The sequence below is a fragment of the Homo sapiens genome, chromosome 11 (genome assembly GCF_000001405.40).
Source record: "Homo sapiens chromosome 11, GRCh38.p14 Primary Assembly".
Lineage (NCBI taxonomy): Eukaryota > Metazoa > Chordata > Mammalia > Primates > Hominidae > Homo > Homo sapiens.
The window spans coordinates 63633830-63654888 of NC_000011.10; the positions used below are offsets into that span (position 1 = coordinate 63633830).

At 41.4% G+C, this 21059-nt stretch overlaps 1 protein-coding gene and 1 long non-coding RNA gene across 11 annotated transcripts in view; one reads left to right on the top strand and one right to left on the bottom strand.

Annotated features, from left to right (window-relative positions):
* Positions 1-21059, top strand: part of LNCROPM (lncRNA regulator of PLAAT3 mediated phospholipid metabolism) — a 42655-nt gene that overhangs the window by 17522 nt on the left and 4074 nt on the right. Inside the window, exons 2-3 of the long non-coding RNA NR_199012.1 lie at positions 3662-3906; positions 16731-16918. This is a non-coding gene — a long non-coding RNA (lncRNA regulator of PLAAT3 mediated phospholipid metabolism). The remainder of the gene's footprint in view (positions 1-3661; positions 3907-16730; positions 16919-21059) is intronic.
* Positions 1-21059, bottom strand: part of ATL3 (atlastin GTPase 3) — a 47888-nt gene that overhangs the window by 9743 nt on the left and 17086 nt on the right. For 4 of the 10 annotated variants that reach the window (NM_001290048.2, XM_047426725.1, NM_001440718.1 and 1 more), the window contains 7 exons: positions 18642-18746; positions 18107-18157; positions 12678-12734; positions 10340-10432; positions 9528-9666; positions 2378-2505; positions 1705-1761 (listed from right to left, as the gene is read on the bottom strand). In NM_001290048.2, the coding sequence (NP_001276977.1) occupies positions 1705-1761; positions 2378-2505; positions 9528-9666; positions 10340-10432; positions 12678-12734; positions 18107-18157; positions 18642-18746 (630 nt within the window). The remainder of the gene's footprint in view (positions 1-1704; positions 1762-2377; positions 2506-9527; positions 9667-10339; positions 10433-12677; positions 12735-18106; positions 18158-18641; positions 18747-21059) is intronic. The other 6 variants (NM_001440720.1, NM_001440717.1, NM_001440719.1 and 3 more) reach the window with 5 other exon arrangements.

Sequence of the window (21059 nt, forward strand, 5' to 3'; positions counted from 1 at the left end):
CAAGACCAGCCTGGCCAACATGTTGAAACCCCATCTCTACCAAAAACACAAAAAAATTAGCCAGGCGTGGTGATGTGCGCCTGTAGTCCCAGCTACTCAGGAGGCTGAGGCAGGAGAACTACTTGAACCCAGGAGGTAGAGGTTGCAGTGAGCCGAGATCACGCCACTGCACTCCAGCCTGAGCAATAGAGCAAGACTCTGTCTCAAACAAAAAAAAAAAAAAAAAAAAGGAAAAAGCCGGGTGTGGTGGCTTACGCCTGTAATCCCAGCACTTTGAGAGGCTGAGGTGGGAGGATCACTTGAGTCCAAGAATTCAACACCAGCCTGCTCAACACAGCTAGATCCTGTTTCTATTTAAAAAAAAAAAAAAAAAAGAAGAAGAAGAAAAAAAAGGGGGCTGGGCGCGGTGACTCACGCCTGTAATCCCAGCACTTTGGGAGGCTGAGGCGGGCAGATCACGAGGTCAGGAGATCGAGATCATCCTGGCTAACACGGTGAAACCCTGTCTCTACTAAAAATACAAAGAAATTAGCCGGGCGTGGTGGCAGGCGCCTGCAGTCCCAGCTACTCGGGAGGCTGAGGCAGGAGAATGGCGTGAACCCAGGAGGTGGAGCTTGCAGTGAGCCGAGATTGTGCCACTGCACTCCAGCCTGGGCAACAGAGCAAGATTCCACCTCAAAAAAAAAAAGGAAAAAATTATTTGCAATGTCAATCCCAGGCTCTAGCTCCCTTTATGAAAATTTTCTGCTACAAAATAAATCAACACTTGGCAATAAATCCCCTTATGTTCAACATATGAAAGTCAAAAATTATGTTTTAACCAAATGACATTCTAGTTGCAAATTAAAAACCTGATTAGTGAATAGTAAACAGGTGTGTCAGGACATGTTCCACTAAAGTAAATAACAGGTCAGGCACAGTGGCTTACACCTGTAATCTTAGCACTTCGGGAAGCTGAGGCAGGCACATCGCTTGAGCCAAGTTTGAGACCAGCCTGGGCGACACAGCAAGACCACATCCCTATTTTTTTCTTTTAATTAAAAAAATTATAGCCAGGCATGGTGGCTCACCCCTATAATCCCAGCACTTTGGGAGGCCAAGACGGTCGGATTGCTTGAGTCCAGGAGTTGGAGACCAGCCTGGGCAACATGGCTAAACCGATCTCTATTAAAAAATACAAAAATTAGCCAGGCATGGTGGTACATGCCTATAATCCCAGCTACTCGGGAGGCTGAGGTATAAGAATCACTTGAACCCAGGAGGTGGAGGTTGCGGTGAGCCAAGATTGTGCCACTGCACTCCAGCCTTGGCAAGAGTGAGACTCTTGTCTCAAAAAAATAATAAATTAGAAATTATATAAAAATAAAAAAAATAAACAACAGATGACAAGAACTTGCTTGTCTAACATGGTGGGTATGTTTCAACCACGTATAATAAACTGTGCTTCCCAAAGTGTGTTTGGTGAAAAGACTAGGCCCAGTGAGGAGAGGCCATTTCGTTTTAACTGTACCACCATGAATACAAACAAGTGAACTAGAAAAGGTCGCCACACTACTGCAAAATGTGCTAAAAAAAAATTAACAGACCTCAGCATGATGAAAAAGGAGAAAAAGTGCATTCTCTTCCTAAAGAACTCTGCTTATTGTATACAGGTCAACTCAAGTAATTTAAGGGTAGCGTTTAGGATGTCAAATCATTGTTTACCTGAAGCATGGACTTGGGGTGAGGCAGATCTTCTCCTTGATAAATTTTAATATATGCCTTAAAATATAAACATAAAAACTGCTATAAAATGTTATTCAGTCATATCTTACTCATATTTAATTTTTAGAAAGTGACCATACAACTGCATTTTCCTAAAGACTTAGGTCAACAACCAGGAATTAGCAAAAACACACCACACACCTTTGAGTGCATGTTAGCATTTTTAGTTAACTAAAAATGTTCTCAAGCAGCACAAGCCTACAGAGGCTAGGATTCCCATCCAGCTCCCCATGCACGCTGGCCTCACCACTACCTGTGGGCAGAGTGACCATCCGCCTTGAGGTAGTCGTGTCACATCTAGGTGCCGTCTCCTCCTACTCACAGCAACTTCCTAACCACCTCCTGTCCACACCATCTTCCTTGAGGAACAATCTTCCTTTAGTCACAGCTAATTGCTCCTCTAAGAGAGTGCAAAGAACATCCATTTGGTTCTTAGACCGATACTGCCACCCAATGGCCCACTCCTGGAAGGACACCAAGGTCTCTGAAAATGCCTCTCACCATCTCCCCCAGAAAATTTTTAAGTTTCAAAATATTTAAATTCAAGTTGATTTACGAGTGAGATCAGCTTTACCAAAAATCAAACATTTTAATAACTAAAACCCATATTTACCTTAAAATACTCCAGTAGTCCCCGACAGGTGACCTTTGAGCCATTGATCTCCTTTTCCATTAACTTAGATGGGTTTAATACATACGGTATCAGTGCCTGTAACTGCTCTTTGAATTCACCAGCAATATCTGTTCACAGGACGACAAAGAAGGGAAAAATAAGCCAAACAGCCTTATTCAACCAAGGTGAACACACAATGCAGTCTTCCCAGTCTAGTGCTTTTAACATTGGTTGTTAAAAGTGAGAGAGAAGCCGGGCACGGTGGCTCACGCCTATAATCCTAGCACTTTGGGAGGCCGAGGCAGGTGGATTGCCTAAGGTCAGGAGTTCGAGACCAGCCTGACCAACATGGTGAAACCCCGTCTCTACTAAAAATAGAAAAACTAGCCAGGCGTGGTGGCAGGTGCCTGTAATCCTAGCTACTCAGGAGGCTGAGGCAGGAGAATCTCTTGAACCCAGGAGGAGGAGGTTGCAGTGAGCCAAGATTGCACCATTGCACTCCAGGCTGGGAAACAAGAGTGAAACTCCATCTCAAGAAAAAAAAAAAAAAAGTGGGAGAGAAGAAGGGGTCTGAGACTATGTTTTGACACTTTCTGGCTATGACCAAGTTGCTGACAGATCTCTGTCCCAATGTACCTTCATTTTTCTCCTTCCCCACTGTAGTAGAAAGTCTTCTCTAGTTCAAAATAGAATACTATATATGCAGAATATCTTTACCTTGGTTTTCATTCTGGGATATCTGGTCTACTCCCTAGCCTTTCAAGAAATTTCACTTTTTAAAGAATTTGATGGCCGTGCGTGGTGGCTCACGCCTGTAATCCCAGCACTTTGGGAGGTCAAGGCGGGTGGATCACGAGGTCAGGAGTTCCAGACCAGTCTGGCCAAGATGGTGAAACCCCGTCTCTACTAAACATACAAAAATTAGCCGGGGGTGGTGGCGGGCACCTGTAATCCCAGCTACTCGGGAGGCTGAAGCAGAGAATAGCTTGAACCCGGAAGGCAGAGGTTGCAGTGAGCCGAGATCGCACCACTGCACTCCAGCCTGGGCAACAGAGTGAGACTCCATCTCAGAAAAAAAAAAAAAGAATTTCATTAACAGGGTCTTCAACAAGTCAATTTTCAACCTCTCAAGTTGTCTCAGGCCTTTGCCATGCCCTCACACTACTACTCCTTTAAATCAATTAGAAATCACTGGTCATTGATTTATTCTTGTTAATTTTTTTAATGTTAAAAGAAGTAGAAGTACCTGTGCCTCATTATATTTATTTTCTATTATCTCCTCAGAGACCCTCGGAACCACCCCAAAATGAAAAGACCACTAACTCAAGAAAGGTGACAGATTCTCTGCAGCTTCTACAAGGTTCCCACAGAGGGATCAGTACAGCCATTAAATAGAGCTCTTTCCTCAAAGTAAGAATTATTAGCTGGTCCAACTATGAAGACACAGGAGAATTAAAATACAGAAAAGCTGATTTACATAATCTTCTAACATCTTCCTGGGTTCCCAGCTATACACTGAAAAAAAGCAGGTAGGAGCCCACATCAAATAAGAACTCTTTAATACTCCACCAACCAGACTATAATATGAAAAATGAAACTAAAATTTCAAGAAAGCATGGGAAAAATACTTTATAACCTTGCAGTGAAAAAGTATAAAAGTATACATAACAGGCCATTCTGTACACATTCACATTTGCTTTCATATACTAAAGAAACTCTGAAAGACTACAAAAATGGAAGAGAGACTTTTCACTGAGTACTTTTTAATCCTTTTTAAAATTTTAAACATGTGAATGTATTACATATCCAAAAAACCTTTTTGTATGGTTTCAATTTCCATCACACTGAAAGATGGAGTGTTTCAAAAAATACCTCACACAAGTAGCAGCAGGATCCAGATGCTACACTTGTCACTTTAACAAGCTGTACAGACCCTATATGCTACTCATGTTTCTATGAAGGCTACACCAAAATAATAGTTTTAAAATTAGAATAGACAAGAACTATCTCATAACAGAAACAAACTCAATCTTTAGTGGTGTCAAAGAAGACTGTGCCCTACAAAGCCTCCTGTGTTAATTTCCAACTAAACAACTCAGTAGTTACTGTATTAGGTCTCCCTGTGACAGTAAGTAGGAAGATAACAATTTTCTTTATGCTGACAACACAGTCATCTTGCATCTGATGAAAAGTATTCTCAAAAAGCAGCTATTCTAGGCCTAGCGTGGTGGCCCGCACCTGTAATCCCAGCACCTTGGGAGGCCAAGGTGGGCAGATTGCTTGAGGCCAGGAGTTCAAGACCAGCCTGGCCAACATGGTGAAACCCCGTTTCTACTAAAAACACAAAAATTACCCAGGCATGGTAGCGCACTCCTGTAATCCCAGCTACTCGGGAGGATGTGGCACAAGAATCGCTTGAGCCCGGGAGGCGGAGGTGGCAGTGAGCTGAGATCGCACCACTGCACTCCAGCCTGGGCAACAGAGTGTAGACAAGACTTTGTCTCAAAAAACAAAACAAAACAAAAAAAAAAAAACTCAGCAGCTATTCTAGCTAATTACTTCAAGAAACAGCAGCTCAGCATCAGTTATACCAAAACTAAGATCATGTTTGGCAGGCATCTACCTCTAAATAAGTGGTTGATCTTTAAAAATAAAATAAAACCACTAAAATAATTCCTAAAGTATCTGGGGGAACATTTGCAGAAATAGTTTCAGAATGTAGTTCTTATGAAATTTAAATGTTCTACAAAAATTACACTTTAAGTTCCTTTTATGGATTAGCCCTAACAACCTCAGGCTAATGTCTTTTCCAAGTTACACAGAACAGGACTGCAGAATCTCAACCATGGAACTGCACAAGTATATATTTGAGAAAATATAATGCCTACCCTTTTTTTTAAATTCTGAAAACTACGTTAGTTCTACTAACAGGTCTCCTACAATAAACTGTGTGTGGTTCTCAAGCTAGCACTTGCCAAATACAAATCACCCGCTATTTGCAATTTAGCATCCAATTTACTCTTCACTCAAAACCCTTCAAAATCTTGGTTAAGTGGTTCCCTAAAATTAAAAAATATCCATCTCCAAATCTAAAATGTACATAAACCTTTGCAGAGCTAGTAAGAATTCTTCATGAACAATCCTCATAATAATTGTAGTTCCTTAAATAAACACAGAGGGCAGGCTTTTAACATATTTTTAAAGTTAGGCAAAAAAGCAAATTTTTGTTTTTCAAATCTTTCCACTTAAGAAAGTACTGGCTGGGCGTGGTGGCTCAAGCCAGTAATCCCAACACTTTGAGAAGCTGAAGTGGAAGGTGGGAGGATCACTTGAGGTCAGGAGTTCGAGACCAGCCTGGGCAACATAGGGAGACCCTGTCTCTACAAAAAAATAAAAAGATTAGCCAGGCATAGTGGTGCATGCCTGTAGTCCCAGCTACTGAGGAGGCTAAGGTGGGAGGATTGCTTGAGACTGGGAGTTAGAGGCTACAGTGAGCTACAATCACGCCACTGCACTCCATCCTGGGCAACAGAGCAAGACCCTGTCTCTAAAATAAATAAATAAATACATACATACATACATGAATGCATACAAATTTTAAAGTACTTATTTTTTTTAAATAAATAGGATCATACCACATATGCTACTCCACTATCTTTCTGCATTTAATAATATATCACAAACATCTTTCTGTATAAAGACACACAGATTCAACTATCTACCTTATCTTTTTTTTTTTGGGACAGAGTTTCGCTCTTGTTGCCCAGGCTGGAGTACAATGGCGCGATCTCAGCTCACTGCAACCTCCACCTCCCGGGTTCAAGTAATTCTCCTGCCTCAGTCACCCAAGTAGCTGGGATTACAGGCATGTGTCACCATGCCCAGCTAATTTTGTATTTTTAGTAGCGATGGGGTTTCTCCATGTTGGTCAGGCTGGTCTGGAACTCCCGACCTCAGGTGATCTGCCTGCCTCGGCCTCCCAAACTGGGATTACAAGCGTGAGCTACCGCACCCGGCCTCTACCTTATCCTTTTTAATGACTGCATTTTATTCCTTTCTGCAGATGTACCTTAATTTTTGTTTTTGTTTTTGTTTTTTTGAGACAGGGTCTCACTCTGTCACCCAGGCTAGAGTGCGGTGGTGCAATCACAGCTCACTGTAGCCTTGACGTCTGGGGCTCAAGCAATCCTCCTACCTCAGCCTTCTGAGTAGCTGGGACCACAGGGGTGTGCCACCATGTCCAGCTAGTATTTTTTTTTTTTTAGCGATGGGGGGGATCTCCCTATGTTGCCGAGGCTGAGATGTACCATAATCTAACCAACTCCACATAAAGACACATTTGTGTTGTTTCCAGTTATTCTCTATGATAATAATGCTACCATAGTATCTTTTTTTTTTTTTTTTTTTTTTTTTTTGAGACAGGGTTTTGCTCTTGTCGCCCAGGCTGGAGTGCAATGGCGCAATCTCGGCTCACTGCAACCTCTGCCTCCCAGATTCAGGCGATTCTCCTGCCTCAGCCTCCCAAGTAGCTGGGATTACAGGCACCTGCCACCATGCCTGGCTAATTTTTGTTTTAGCAGAGACAGGGTTTCACCATGTTGGCCAGGCTGGTCTCAAACTCCTGACCTCAGGTGATTCGTCCACCTTGGCCTCCCAAAGTGCTGGGATTACAGGCGTGAGCCACTGCACCCAGCCAGTATACATATTTTTATCCACTTATTTAAATAGTTCCTTAGGATAAACTCCTAGAAGTGGGATAGTGGATCAAAGGACGTGAACATTCTGAATTCTGATGCTGCCACGTTACAATTCATAAAGATGATCATTTATTACCAATGCTTTTGTGCTTTCCTGATTATTGTGATGCTGCACATATTTTCATTAATATATAATGACCATTTGTATTTCTTCTTTTTGGACTTGCCTTTTCATGTAAGAAAGGAAGATTTAAGACTTACCAGTGCATTTTATATAGCTCTATCTTGATGAGGAAACCAAATAGTACATAATTATGAGACTAAAGATTGCTCATACAGAATTTGTTCCCTATTTTATAAATGTTATATATGAAACTTGACACGCTTAATATTTAGTGATTAAACCATTCATAATCTACATATATGTATAGTGAGTTGAACAGCATCCCCCTCCCCAACAAAATGCATGTCCACCTGGAACTTCAGAAAATCTTATTTGGAAACAGTCTTGCAAATGTAATTAGCTGAAAGGAGGTCATACTGGATTAAGGTGGGCCCTAAATCCAAAGACTGGTGTGCTCACAAGAAAAAGACAGAACACACAAAGAAGGCGGTCATGTGACAACAAAGAACCTGGAGGCAACTAAAGGTACAAGTCAAAGAATGCCAAGGACTGCTGGCAACTTCCAGATGCTAGGAGAGAGTGTGGGACAGGTTCTCCTTCAGAGTCTCCGGGCGGAACCAACCATCATTTTGGACTTCTGGCTCCCTGACTTGCGGGGGAATAAATTTCCGTTGTCTTAAGCCACCTAGTTTGTGGTAATTGGTTAAAGGCAGCCACAGGAAATTAATACAACCAAAAGTGACACAAATTTCAAAAGCCAGGGTTACTGAACTTTAAAAAACTCTGCCTACTCCCTGAATGATAAAAATGAAAATGAACTTTAAAGCAATGCATTGGAATACTAAAACTGAAACTATGGAAGAATGCCATGTGTGTGTGTTTATACTGGATAATCACTAGGAGTCACTCTAATTCACCCTCTCCTAACACCTCCATTTAAGAATTCCACTGGACACATTCCCTATCAGTGATGAACAAATCTGAGTTCAGGTTGGGAAAAGTACAACCAATAATGGAGCATTATAATCCTAAACAATATATTACCTAGAGACATACACATACACACTTAACTTTCTCTCCCTACTCAGCTCTGAAAACTCCCTTGAAACTGCTTTTCAGGTAAAAGGTTCTAGGTCCACTGCTTGCCAAGCGGATTTCTCTCCCCAAGCAATAATCTTAGATTTTTCAATTGCCATGAAACAGGCCAGGGAAGTCTCCTCCTCAGGAAAGCTGTCAATCACGTAAAAGTATCAGAGAAGTGACAAATAAAAGGTAAAGGTTAAGTCTCTTTAACTCAGTTTCTTTGCAATATTAAGACCAGCTAGAATGAAAATCTTGAGTTGAACATTCATTTTCTTGGATCAACTAAATCAAATAGGTTGGAAATGATGCATTTTATATTTAATATGAGGCTATGAAAACCATTCACTTCAAAACCTTTTAGTAGTAACTAAACAGTACATATCCTCTAAATGATTTCCTCCATATAACAGAAGAACCCCTATTTTAGCCCAGTATGGGTTTGGAGCAACAAGAACTTGGATGTAGATCTACGCCTCACCACTTACTTAACTAGCTGAGCACTTTGAGCAAGTTACTTAACTTTCCTCCTTTTCCTTAACTATTTTTGCCATTTTCCTCACATATAAGATAAAGGAAATGACATCAAAGTCATTGGAATTACTGGGAGCATAAATATCAAAGTACCTAGCATAGTGTTGCAAACATTACCAGGAATCTGAGAGACTCGGATAAGCTTATTAACAAGTGCTCAGTTTAACACATGTATAAATTAAGGGCTAGCCATTTAATGACTCAAGGCCTTAATGAAAAAGGAACAAAGATAAGATAATGGAGCCCAAGAGTCCCAACTACGATTCCTCTCACCTACCATTTAGTTAGCACTTCCTGATATTAGCACATGACCCAGCGTCAGGTTTTGCTATAATCACAAATAAGATGAAAATAATAGCTCTGCCATGCATCATGCTGCCTTCCCTTAGGAAGTTAATTTTACTTAATATTAGCTGACTAATGTTTAGTCTTCCTTTATTTAGCATTTGTATCTCTTGTAAACCAAGAACCATAATGAGTCTCTTTAGAAAGACTACTAATGGATATGAACACCACCATTTCAGGTGGAGAAGTCAAGGTAAACTAATTCTGATGGTCTCAGTAAGTCAGGAGCAAAATCTGAACTAGACTTTAAATACTACTCTTTCTAAGAGAGCATACCATTTTTCTTAAGCATTCACTTGATTTGTAAGTGATTCATTATTTTTAATTCCAAAGATCGAATCACAGGTTTAAAATAACACCTGGAACACACCTTTTAATTTCCCATCAAAGTCAGGGCTTGTGGCCACCTGGAGTCCTGGATGTGGTAAGAGAAAGCAGGTGACATCGGAGAAACATGAGTGAATGTGATTTCGAACATTCTGAATTTCTTCATGTTGATGTTCCTTCACCTGCCAATGAAGACCAAGAATTTACCAACCAAAAGTCATTTGGTTTTCTTCACTAGGGACAACTAGTATAAGGACAAAGGAAAGAAGACTCCTCAACTCTGATGGATCATAGTGGCCAAATGAGAAAACTCAGAACCCTAAGAAGCAATAAACACACAAATCTGATTACCTACGGCTTGACTCCTATAGCTAGCAAACAGGTGCATAAGAGTTTCATTAAAATGAGTATTACACAAGAGATGGTTTGTGGGGATGAAGGAGGATCTAACCAATTAGTAGTGACAGACAAAGGATTCCTGTGTTTTGGTTTGGGGGAACAGGTTAGGCCTGTTTATATCTATCCCAAAATAAGTAAAAATTTTGAAGAATAACATAACTAAAATTCTGAGTATGATTTCTAAAGACACATATAGAACTTGGTTTAAAATGTAAAATGGAAATTATAATCAAAGCTTGGGCACTGGCCCAGAGTTTTCTTCTACAGTTCCTGTGTACTGTATATACAGGTTCTTTAATCTTGTCAAGAATAAATATTAGCTTGTGTTAAGATTCATATATAGTTAATGTATTCAATATCATTTTCAATAATTGCTTTAAACACAATAGCCAAAAGCAAATGAGAAAGCTATCACTACTTTGAGATAATTCATCAGAAGATTATAGTCCCACTTACCTGTAAACGCTTATCCAAAAATGCCATTCCTCCTTGGAGTCCATAGCTATATTCATAAGGGAAACTCCAATCTCTAACCAAAAACATCAGTGTCTATTTAAGAAAAGAGCGGAACATATTTTAACATGCATAAACACATTTTCAAGAGAACAACTGCAATACATCTTTGCATAATGCCAGCTTCTACAAAGGGGGTAAAGTAGAAGGATTTACCTTTTTTTTTTTTTTTTTTTTTTAAAGAGATTGGGCCTTGCTCCGTCACTAAGGCTAGAGTGCAGTGGCATGATCATAGCTCACTGTAGCCTAGAATTCCTGGGCTCAAGTGATCCTTTCACCTCAGCCTCCCAAGTAGCCGGGACTACAAGCACATGCCACTACTCCTGGCTTATTTTTTAATTTTTTTATATAGACAAGGTCTTGCTCTGTTGCCCAGGCTGGTCTTGAACTCTAGGCCTCAAGCAATCCTGTGGCCTTGGCCTCCCAAAGTGCTGGGATTACAGGTGTGAGCCACCACACCCGGCCAGATTTATCTATTCTGTAATGTCTTAGAAGTTTTACAAACACTGGAGGGACATGTTTAAGCCAAATATGAGGTCAATATATCCTATCTGCTATTTTTGTTCCCACAGGTTAGTAGGAACAGAAGGAAGACATTAATGAGAAAATGGTAAATTTGGGACTCTGCCTTAAAGAAATCTATGGGGAATACAGTAAAGGACAAAAGAGAAAACCACATGGCACCAGCTAATCATAAAATCAGATCTGTGGCCGGGCACAGTGGCTCACGCCTGTATCCCAGCTACTTGGGAGGCTGAGGCAGGAGAATCACTTGAACCCAGGAGGAGGAGGTTGCAGTGAGGCGAGATCACGCCACTGCACTCCAGCCTGGGTGACAGAGCGAGACTCTGTCTCCAAAAAAGAAAAAAATCAGGTCTGTTTTCAGCATTAGAAAGGAAGGCCAGCCACCGTGGCTCATGCCTATAATCCCTTTACTCTGGGAGGCCGAAGCAGGTGGGTCACCTGAGCTCAGGAGTTTGAGACCAGCCGGTCAACATGATGAAACCCCATCTCTACAAAAAATACAAAAAATTAGCCGGGCGCCTGAAATCCCAGCTACTCAGGAGGGTGAGGAAGGAGAATTGCTTGAACCTGGGAGGCAGAGGTTGCAGTGAGCCAAGATCATGCTACTGCACTCCAGCCTGGGCAAAATTTTAGAAAGAAACTCCATCTCAAAAAAAAAAAATAAATTAGAAAAGAAAAGAAATAAGGCTTACACACTGAAAGCACCTCTAATCCCATTGACTGAGGCTGCTGTGCTTCCTCATTCTCAAGAAACACTGAACTGAGGCATAGGTCAGCAAAGACTTTTTGCAGAGAGAGAGAGAGAGAGAGAGACAGAGAGAGACAGAGAGTGAGTGAGTGTGTATGTGTGTGTTTGTGTTGAGACGGTCTTGCTTTGTTACCCAGGCTGGAGTGCAGTGGCACAATCATGGCTCACTGCAGCCTTGACCTCCTAGGCTTAAGTGATCCTCCTACCTCAACCCCACCGAGTAGCTGGGACTACAGGCGTGCACGACCTTTTTATTTTATTTTATTTTTGTTTTTTTCTTTTTTTTTGAGACAAAGTCTTGCTCTGTCGCCCAGGCTGGAGTATAGTGGCATGACCTCGGCTCACTGTAACCTTCACCTACCAGGCTCGAGCGACTCTCCTGCCTTAGCCTCCTGAGTAGCTAAGATTACAGGCACCCACCACCACGCCCAGCTGATTTTTGTATTTTTAGTAGAGACAGGTTCCATGTTGGCCAAGCTGGTCTCGAACTCTTGACCTCAGGTGATCTGCCTGCTTTGGCCTCCCAAAGTGCTGGGATTACAGGCATGAGCCACTGTACCTACCCCCATTTTTTTAAGAGATGTCTTGCTATGTTGCCCAGGCTGGTCTCAAACTCCTGGGCTCTAGCAATTCTTCCACCTGGGTCTCCCCAAAGTGCTGGGATTACAGGTGTAAGCTACCACGCCCAACCCACAGAGCTTACTTTTTAAGCGATTACTCTGCCGTTGTAGCAGGAAAGCCGTCACAGACAGTACAAAGACAAATGAGCATGGCTGTGTTACACTAAAATTTTACCTACAGACAATGACACTTGAATTTCAGGTAATTTACGTGTCATAAAATAGTACTGCTCATTTTTTTCAACCATTTAAAAATGTAAAAACCATTCTTAGCTCACAAGTCATATAAAAACAGGTGGCAAGCTAGATTTGGCCTATGAGCTGTAGTTTGCCAATCTGTGAAAACAAAAACAAAGGTATGAATTATATTTAAAATAAATATTCTAACCTGGAAAGGCTTTTGGAAAATTTCATCCATTGCCAGACGACCGTATTCTGTGAAGAGCTTTAAAAAAGAAGCATTATGGTTTGTAAAGCAAAATTACTTAAAATAGTTCTATGGCCTTTTTAGCAAAGTATTCATTATATTTATACTGATACCAGACTTCTACAGTTTCAAAAGCCCACAGGAGTCATGAACCTTAAAATCATCTTGGTTATTCCCTGCTCACATCCCACATCCCAATTCATCAACAAATCCAGAATCCAGCCACTCACTATTTCCATGTGGCTTGGAATACTGCAATAGCCTCCTAACTGCCTCAGCCCATGCCTCCCTATGGGCTATTCTCAACACAGCAGCCACATTGACTCTTTTATAATATGGTTAGTTAGATCATATAATGGCTTTGCTCAAAACCCCACAACCTCATTCAGTATTAAAGCCAGTCCTTACAGTGTGATGCAGCCACACTGGCCCTCCTTCCTGTTCTTCAAATACACGGGGCACACCGCTGCCTTAGGACCTTCGTACTGGCTCCTCCCACTAACTATAAGTTCTTCTCCCAAATTTCCTCATGATCTGCTCCCTCACTTCTTAAGGTCTTTCAAATAGCTCCTTCTCAGTGAAGACTTCCATGGCCATCTACCGAAAAAGATTACAAGTTTGCCAATAATATTTCCTACTTCGTGTCTTTAAAAAAAAATTTTTTTTTTTGAGACAGAGTTGTGCTCTTGTTGCCCAGGCTGGAGCGTAATGGCGCGTGGCTCATCGCAACCTCCGCCTCCCGGGTTCAAGCGATTCTCCTGCCTCAGCCTCCCAGGTAGCTGGGATTACAGGCATGTGCCACCACACCTGGCTAATTTTGTATTTTTAGTAGAGACGGGGTTTCTCCATGTTGGTCAGGCTGGTCTTGAACTCCTGACCTCAGGTGATCCACCTGCCTCGGCCTTCCAAAGTGCTGGGATTACAGGCGTGAGCCACCACACCCAGTCTTAAAAGTTTTTTTCTTAACATTTATCATTATCTAATATACTATACCTCTTCTTGATTTGATTTGCATCTGTCTTTATACTAGCATTTAAACTCCATGAGGGCAGGAATATTTGTCTGTTTTGTGCACTACTGGATTTCCAGCAGCAAGAAAAGTATTAGGCCCATAATATTTATGTCATTCAAATGACTGAATTCTTTAAGGTTAAGGTTTACATGTATATTTACCTCTAAATCTTCAGGAAGCCTCACTAAAAGCATAACAAAACAAACTTTAAAAGTAAATAAATAAACAGGACAAAGCAGCCAGCAGAAAAGCCCTGTCAAAAACATTCTGGATGGAAAATAGACAAATGAGAACTGTCTCAAGTTTTGGCTTTCTCTGTTCTGCTAAGAAATCTGGAAGAGACAGGGGCCAACAAGGAAGAAGCAAATTATCTCAGTAGAAATCCCTGAAATGCTCAGAAATTATAAGCATACAGTTACCTTACAGGAGGAGGTGTAGGAGTCCAGCTGACAACTAGGAAATATGTGAGTCTTAGGAGAAAGTACCTACACTTCCAGGCACCCCTCTCTAACTGCCGTATTTTTCCTGCCTCCATAGAAGATGGGAAGTGTACTATCTGGAGAAGATAAATCCAAAAAAAAATCTAGACTTAGATACCAAACTCAGCTGAGGTTAGGAGTAAGTCTCCTACCTTCAAACAGGTACTTAAATCAAAGTCCACATAGTGAGCAGTGGGACTCCTTAGCCCTCTCACCCTACTGGTTGCCACAGCAAGCTTCTACCCACCAAGGCAGGAATTTAAAGAAATTTTTTCCAGGGAAACTAACAACCCAAGAATAAATATCTGCAAAAAAAATAGACATTTAGGAGTTGGCAACAAAATAGCTAGATAACCTTGCCAAACCACCTACCTCATTGTGATCCAAACCAGTACACAAGGCCTATCCTCTTATCAAAGCTCCCAGTTGGATTGTTAGTGGCTCTCTCTTAAATAGGTAGTCAAGGACCACCAGCTAGACATTTGAGAAAAGCCTCTTAGCAGGGCTGGCCGCTCTAATCCCAGCACTTTGGGAGGCCAAGGCAGGGAGATCACTTGAGGTCAGGAGTTCGAGACCAGCCTGGCCAACATGGCGAAACCCTGTCTCTACTAAAAATACAAAAATTAGCTGGGCATGGTGGCACATGCCTGTAATCCCAGCTTCTCAGGAGGCTGAGGCAGGAGAATTGCTTGAGTCCGGGAGGTGGAGGTTGCAGTGAGCCGAGATCGCACCACTGCACTCCAGCCTAGGCAGCAGAGTGAGACTCTGTCTCTAAAAAAAAAAAGCAAAAAAACAAAAAGGCCAGGCACGGCGGCTCACATCTGTAATCCTGGCACTTTAGGAGGCTGAGGCAGGCAGATCATTTCAGGTTAGGAATTTGAGGTCACTCTGACCAACATAGTGAAACCCTGTCTCTACTAAAAGTACAAAAAAAATTAGCCGGGTGTGGTGGCACGCACCTGCAGTCCCAGCTACTCAGGAGGCTAAGGCAGCAGAATCACTTGAACTTGGGAGGCGGAGATTGCAGTGAGTGAGCCAAGATCGTGCCACTGCACTCCAGCCTGGGCAACTGAGGGAGACTCCATCTCAAAAAAAATAAAAAAAGTACTAAAAATCCAGGTTAGGGGGGAAACTTATTTGGAAACAAAACCTGCCTTCAACTGACATGAAGCTTTTTATAGGCTTATTTACCCCATTTTATTGGTTATATATTTCACTGAAGAAATATTAATGTGTTTAATCAGAAGGCTCTGCATGAACATCAACACCCAGCTAATTTTTGTATTTTTAGTAGAGACGGGGTTTCACCATGTTTGCCAGGCTGTTCTCGAACTCCTGACCTCATGATTCACCTGCCTCAGCCTCCCAAAGTGCTGGGATTACACGCATGACCCACCACACCCAGCTGTGATTTCTTTTTTTACATCAAAATATTTAATCTATCTGGTCTATCTGGAATTTTTGTATATAGTACAAGGTAGAAATATAATTTTATTTTCTTTTTTTTTTTTTAAAGACAGAGTCTCACTCTGTTGCCCAGACTGGAGTGCAGTGGTGTGCTCTCAGCTCACTTCAACCTTTGCCTCCCAGGTTCAAGTGATTCTCAGGCCTCAGCCTCCCGAGTAGCTGCGATTACAGGCATTTGCCACCGCACCCAGCTAATTTTTTTTTTTGTACTTTCAGTAGAGACAGGGTTTCACCATGTTGGCCAGACTGGTCTCGAACACCCAAACTCAGGTGATCAGCCTGCCTCAGCATTCCAAAGAGGAATATAATTTCTAATTTATCTAAATACATAGCCAACTGTCCTAACACCATTTATTGACTGATCTATGCTTTATGGTATATGTGTATATATTCTTAAGTAGAATAAAATATATGAAAATGTAGTATATCGTAAGTACACTGCATTGATCTATTTTTTCCTGAAACAATGCCATGTTCTTGTAATTACAGATTTATAATATGTACTAAGTCAATTATCTCATATTTCCCCTGTAATTTTTTTTTTTGGCTGTTTTACAATTTAACTTTCCAAATGAATTTCACAACAATTCTGTCAAGTTCCCAAAATAATGCCTTTATGATTTTGTTTAGTGGGGAAGAACTGACAAGTTTATAATTCTCATTCTAAATGAGATAATGTTTATAACACACCGCAGTATCTAGTACAGAGTAAGCAATAAATACACGTTGGCTATTATCATCCCCATATGGAAGAAACAAGGCATATTTCTGCATGTTAAATCTTTTATATGCCTCATACAATTCTGAAGTGCTCCATATAGATCTTTTTTAAGTTTATTCTGTTTTCAATATTTTGTTGCTAAAGTCAATTTTTTCCATTACATTTTTAAACTGGTTATTGTTAGTAGAGAGGAAAACCTAATGATTTTGTATCTGTATTTTGTAATGGAGACCTTAATTATTTTTTAAGTTCCAAATAATTTTCTAGTTCATTCTTACGGATTTCCAGGCACACAAACATATTACTTTCTCCTCTGTAATATTTATATTTTACAGTTGCTGAGTCTACCAACAGCCTTGTCATGTGAGACAAGGTGAATTACATAACTGCATCATAATCTACTTACTACTTCTTATGGGTTGAATTGTGTCCTGAAGAAAAATATGCTAAAGTCCTCGCACCTGGTACCTGTGAATGTGACCTTACATATATCTATAGCACTTGGCCCTCTACCTCACACAAGGTAAGCATTCGAAAAATGGTTGAAAGGAAGGAGCTTAGAAAGGAATAAATTTCAGGTGAAATGGTGACCAACTCAAGTTGTGATCGAAGTTTTACAGAGCAACAGCTCTCAACCACTAAGCCATGGCACTGGTACAGAACTACCAATTATGAAGTACAGACAATTGCCATAAGCAACATTAAGGATCGAGGTTTAGGAGGAATTTTCCTTGTTTTTTAAAATAAACATAAAATAGAACTAATTCAAGGTAATCCCTATAATAATGACACCCTTACTCACTCACATTCTGATGCTTTCTTGAATGTCAGTGGGAGAAGTAGCATTAGAGTAACATACCAGAATTGCATCCAACCCTGGAATACTCACAAAAGAGCATTTTGTGGGAAAAACAGATAAGACCTGCTGCTATAAAAAAAGAGAAGAAAAAGGCCGGGCGCGGTGGCTCATGCCTGTAATCCCAGCACTTTGGGAGGCCGAGGCAGGCGGATCACGAGGTCAACAATTTGAGACCAGCCGGACCGACATGGTGAAACCCCGTCTCTATTAAAAATACAAAAAGTAGCCGGGCATGGTGGCGCACACCTGTAATCCCAGCTTGCAGTGAGCCAAGATTGCATCATTGCACTCCAGCCTGGGGACAAGAGCAAGACTTCGTCTTAAAAAAAAAAAAAAAGTCTATTCTGAACATAGCAGCCAGAATGATCCCTTTACAACAGGTCAGATAACATCATTGCTGACGACCCTCCCATGGCTCCCACCTTCCCCAGAGGAAAAGACCCAGAATGAGTGGGACCTCACTGCCTCTCTGACTTCATCACTTAACCCCTTCCTGTCACACTCTCCAATCCTACCCACCGGCCTCCCTGCCATTCCTTGATCTTGCCAAGCACACTCCCCTCAGGGTCTGTCTTCCAGCAGCTGCTCCTCTCCTGTAATAGTTTTCCGCCCAAATGTATCTGAAGGACTCACTTGCCCACTTTCTTTCATTCTCTGCTCAAATCATTAAGGCCTTCCCCGACCACTCCTGCTCCACCCCACCAATGGCTATACATAGTATAGAATTACTATGAACCAAAAACCTTCCTCTACATTTCAATCTTTTGCTAAAAACTACTCAGTTGTAAAATGTTCCTTAATCTTAAAACTTTTAAATAATATGATGTTAAAATTGTTATGAGAAATATATACCTGCAGCTGTTGAAGATCATCTTCTTGAATGTTCTGAGATAAATTATAAATCTAGAAAACAAAAATCCAGATTGATACTACTCTGGCTTACTTCAAACAAATCCCAAATAAGCCTAAAGGGCTGACAGAAGCTTTGAACAATTAAAGACTTGCATATAAGAACATGAGGCCTGTTCAAACAGCAATATGATCTGTCTTTTGGAAAACTATGCACATAAGATTGAAATCAAAAATTCCTCCTTTACAGTTTAAAACAGTTTTCCTAAGCTCTTATCAAATCTGTATTTTCTATATGATATAATAAATTTCCATTTTTTGGACTTTTCTTGGAACATATTATATATAATTATGACCAAAGAGGAAAAATTCTTTGGCTCCTTCTCAAACTTTTAAAAGTTTAACTGCATCTACAGTTTAAAAATAATATTTACATATCATCCTAGAAATTCTGTTAACAGAACAATAACCAAAACTGTATTTCCTCCCTTTATCTTATTTCCTTTGCGAGCTTTTTTCTGAGTCAAGTGGTTTTTACCTGAACAGAACTAGTCATAGTGCTTAGAGCAAAGATGGTAGCACAGTCTTTCACAGTTGACTGGCTGTCAAATGCCCCCTGGGTATCCATCAGAACAACTGCAACCTAAAAAAAAGGAAAATACAAACAAAAGAGATTAAACTAAGAAGGAGGAAACCGTAAAGGAGAAATTGAAAAGTACAGGTAATATATACTTAAGTACAGGTAATGTTTATGTGAGCCTTAAGCACCTGCTTGTAGGTTCTGTACAACTATTTAGGTGCTTTGCTTTGACTACAGCACTCTACTGAAGATTATCCAGCGTTATACAGAGCAATATGGAAGGCAAAAATTGCCCCACCAATTGAAACAGACAAAAGTTGAAAGCAATTAGCTTATCACCCAGCCAGGCATTTGGATGTTTCCTGTTGTTGAAAAAGAAACTAAAAAATATTCATCTTGGCCAGGTGCAGTGGCTCACACCTATAATACCAACAGTTTGGGAGGCCGTGGCAGCAGCAGCACTTGAGCCCAGTTCAATACCAGCCTGGGCAACATAGTGAGACCCAGTCTCTACATAAAATTTAAAAAATTAGGTCAGGCGCAATGGCTCATGCCTGTAATCCCAGCACTTCGGGAGGGAGGCAAAGTCAGGTGGATCACTTGAGGCCAGGAGTTCCAGACCAGCCTGGCCAACACGGTGAAATCGTGTCTCTACCAAAAATACAAAAATTAGGCCAGGCGCAGTGGCTCACACCTGTAATCCCAGTACTTTGGGAGGCCAAGGCAGGTGGATCACCTGAGGTCCAGAGTTCGAGACCAGCCCGGCTAACATGGCAAAATCCCGTCTCTACTAAAAATACAAAAAAAATGGGCGTGGTGGTGCACACCTGTAGTCCCACCTACTCCAGAGGTTGAGGCAGGAGAATCACTTGAACCCTGGAGGCAGAGGTTGCAGTGAGCCGAGACCACACTACTGTACTCCAGCCTGGGTGAGAGAGCGAGATTTTGTCCCAAAAAAAAAAAACCAAAACTCTTTGGTATATACCCAAAGGAGCTGAAAACTTATGTCTCAACAAAAACCAACACATGAGTATTTATAGGAGCTTTATTCTTAATTGTCAAAATTTGAAAGCAACCAAGATGTCCTTCAACAGGCAAATGGATGAACAAACTGGTGCCTTCATAATGTAGAATACTATTCAGCAATAAAAAGAAATGAACTATCAAGACACGAAAGAGTTGCAGAAATCTTAAAATTGCATTGCTAAGTGAAAGAGGCCAATCTGAAAAGGCTGCATATTGTATGATTCTAACTATATGACATTCTGGTAAAGGCGAAACTATGGAGACAGTAAAAAGATCAGTGGAGGAGTTTGTGGGGAGGGAAGAGAGGAACAGATAGGTACATTACAGAGAATGTTTAGGGCAGTGTGACTATTCCGTATGATACAGTAATAGTGGGCATGTGTCACTATACAGTTGTCAAAATCCAATGTACAACACAATGAGTGAGCCCTAAAGTAAACTATGTATGGGTTTTAGCTAATGACAATATATTGGTTCAAATATTAATTGTAACAAATGTATCACACTATTACAAGATGTAAACAACAGAGCAAACTGAAGGAGAATGTGGGAACTGGGCAGGTTGCAATTAATTTTCCTGAAAACCTAAAACAAAATAAAGATACAATTTGTTTTTTTTTTTTTTTTGAGACGGAGTCTTGCGCTGTGGCCAGGCTGGAGTGCAGTGGCGCGATCTCGGCTCACTGCAAGCTCCGCCTCCCAGGTTCACGCCATTCTCCTGCCTCAGCCTCCCAAATAGCTGGGACTATAGACGCCCGCCACCACGCCCAGCTAATTTTTGTATTTTTAGTAGAGACGGGGTTTCACTGTGTTAGCCAGGATGGTCTCGATCTCCTGACCTCATGATCCGCCCGCCTCAGCCTCCCACAGTGCTGGGATTACGGAGTTTCACTCTGTTGCCCAGGTTGGAGTACAATGGCACGATCTTGGCTCACTGCAACCTCCACCTCCCAGGTCCAAGCGATTCTCCTGCCTCAGCCTCCCGAGTAGCTGGGATTACAGGCATGAGCCACCATGCCCGGCTAATTTTTGTATTTTTAGTAGAGACAGGGTTTCACCACGTTGGTCAGACTCGTCTTGAACTCCTGACCTCAGATGATCCACCCACCTCGGCCTCCCAAAGTGCTGGGATTACAGGCCTAAGCCACCATGTCTGGCCTATTTTTTTTTTTTTTTTGAGACAGAGTTTTGCTCGTCACCCAGGCTGGAGTGCAATGGCGCAACCTCGGCTCACCACAACCTCCACCTCCCAGGTTCAAGCGATTCTCCTGCCTCAGCCTCCTGAGTAGCTGGGATTACAGGTGCACACCACCATACCCGGCTAATTTTTGTATTTTTAGTTGAGCAAGA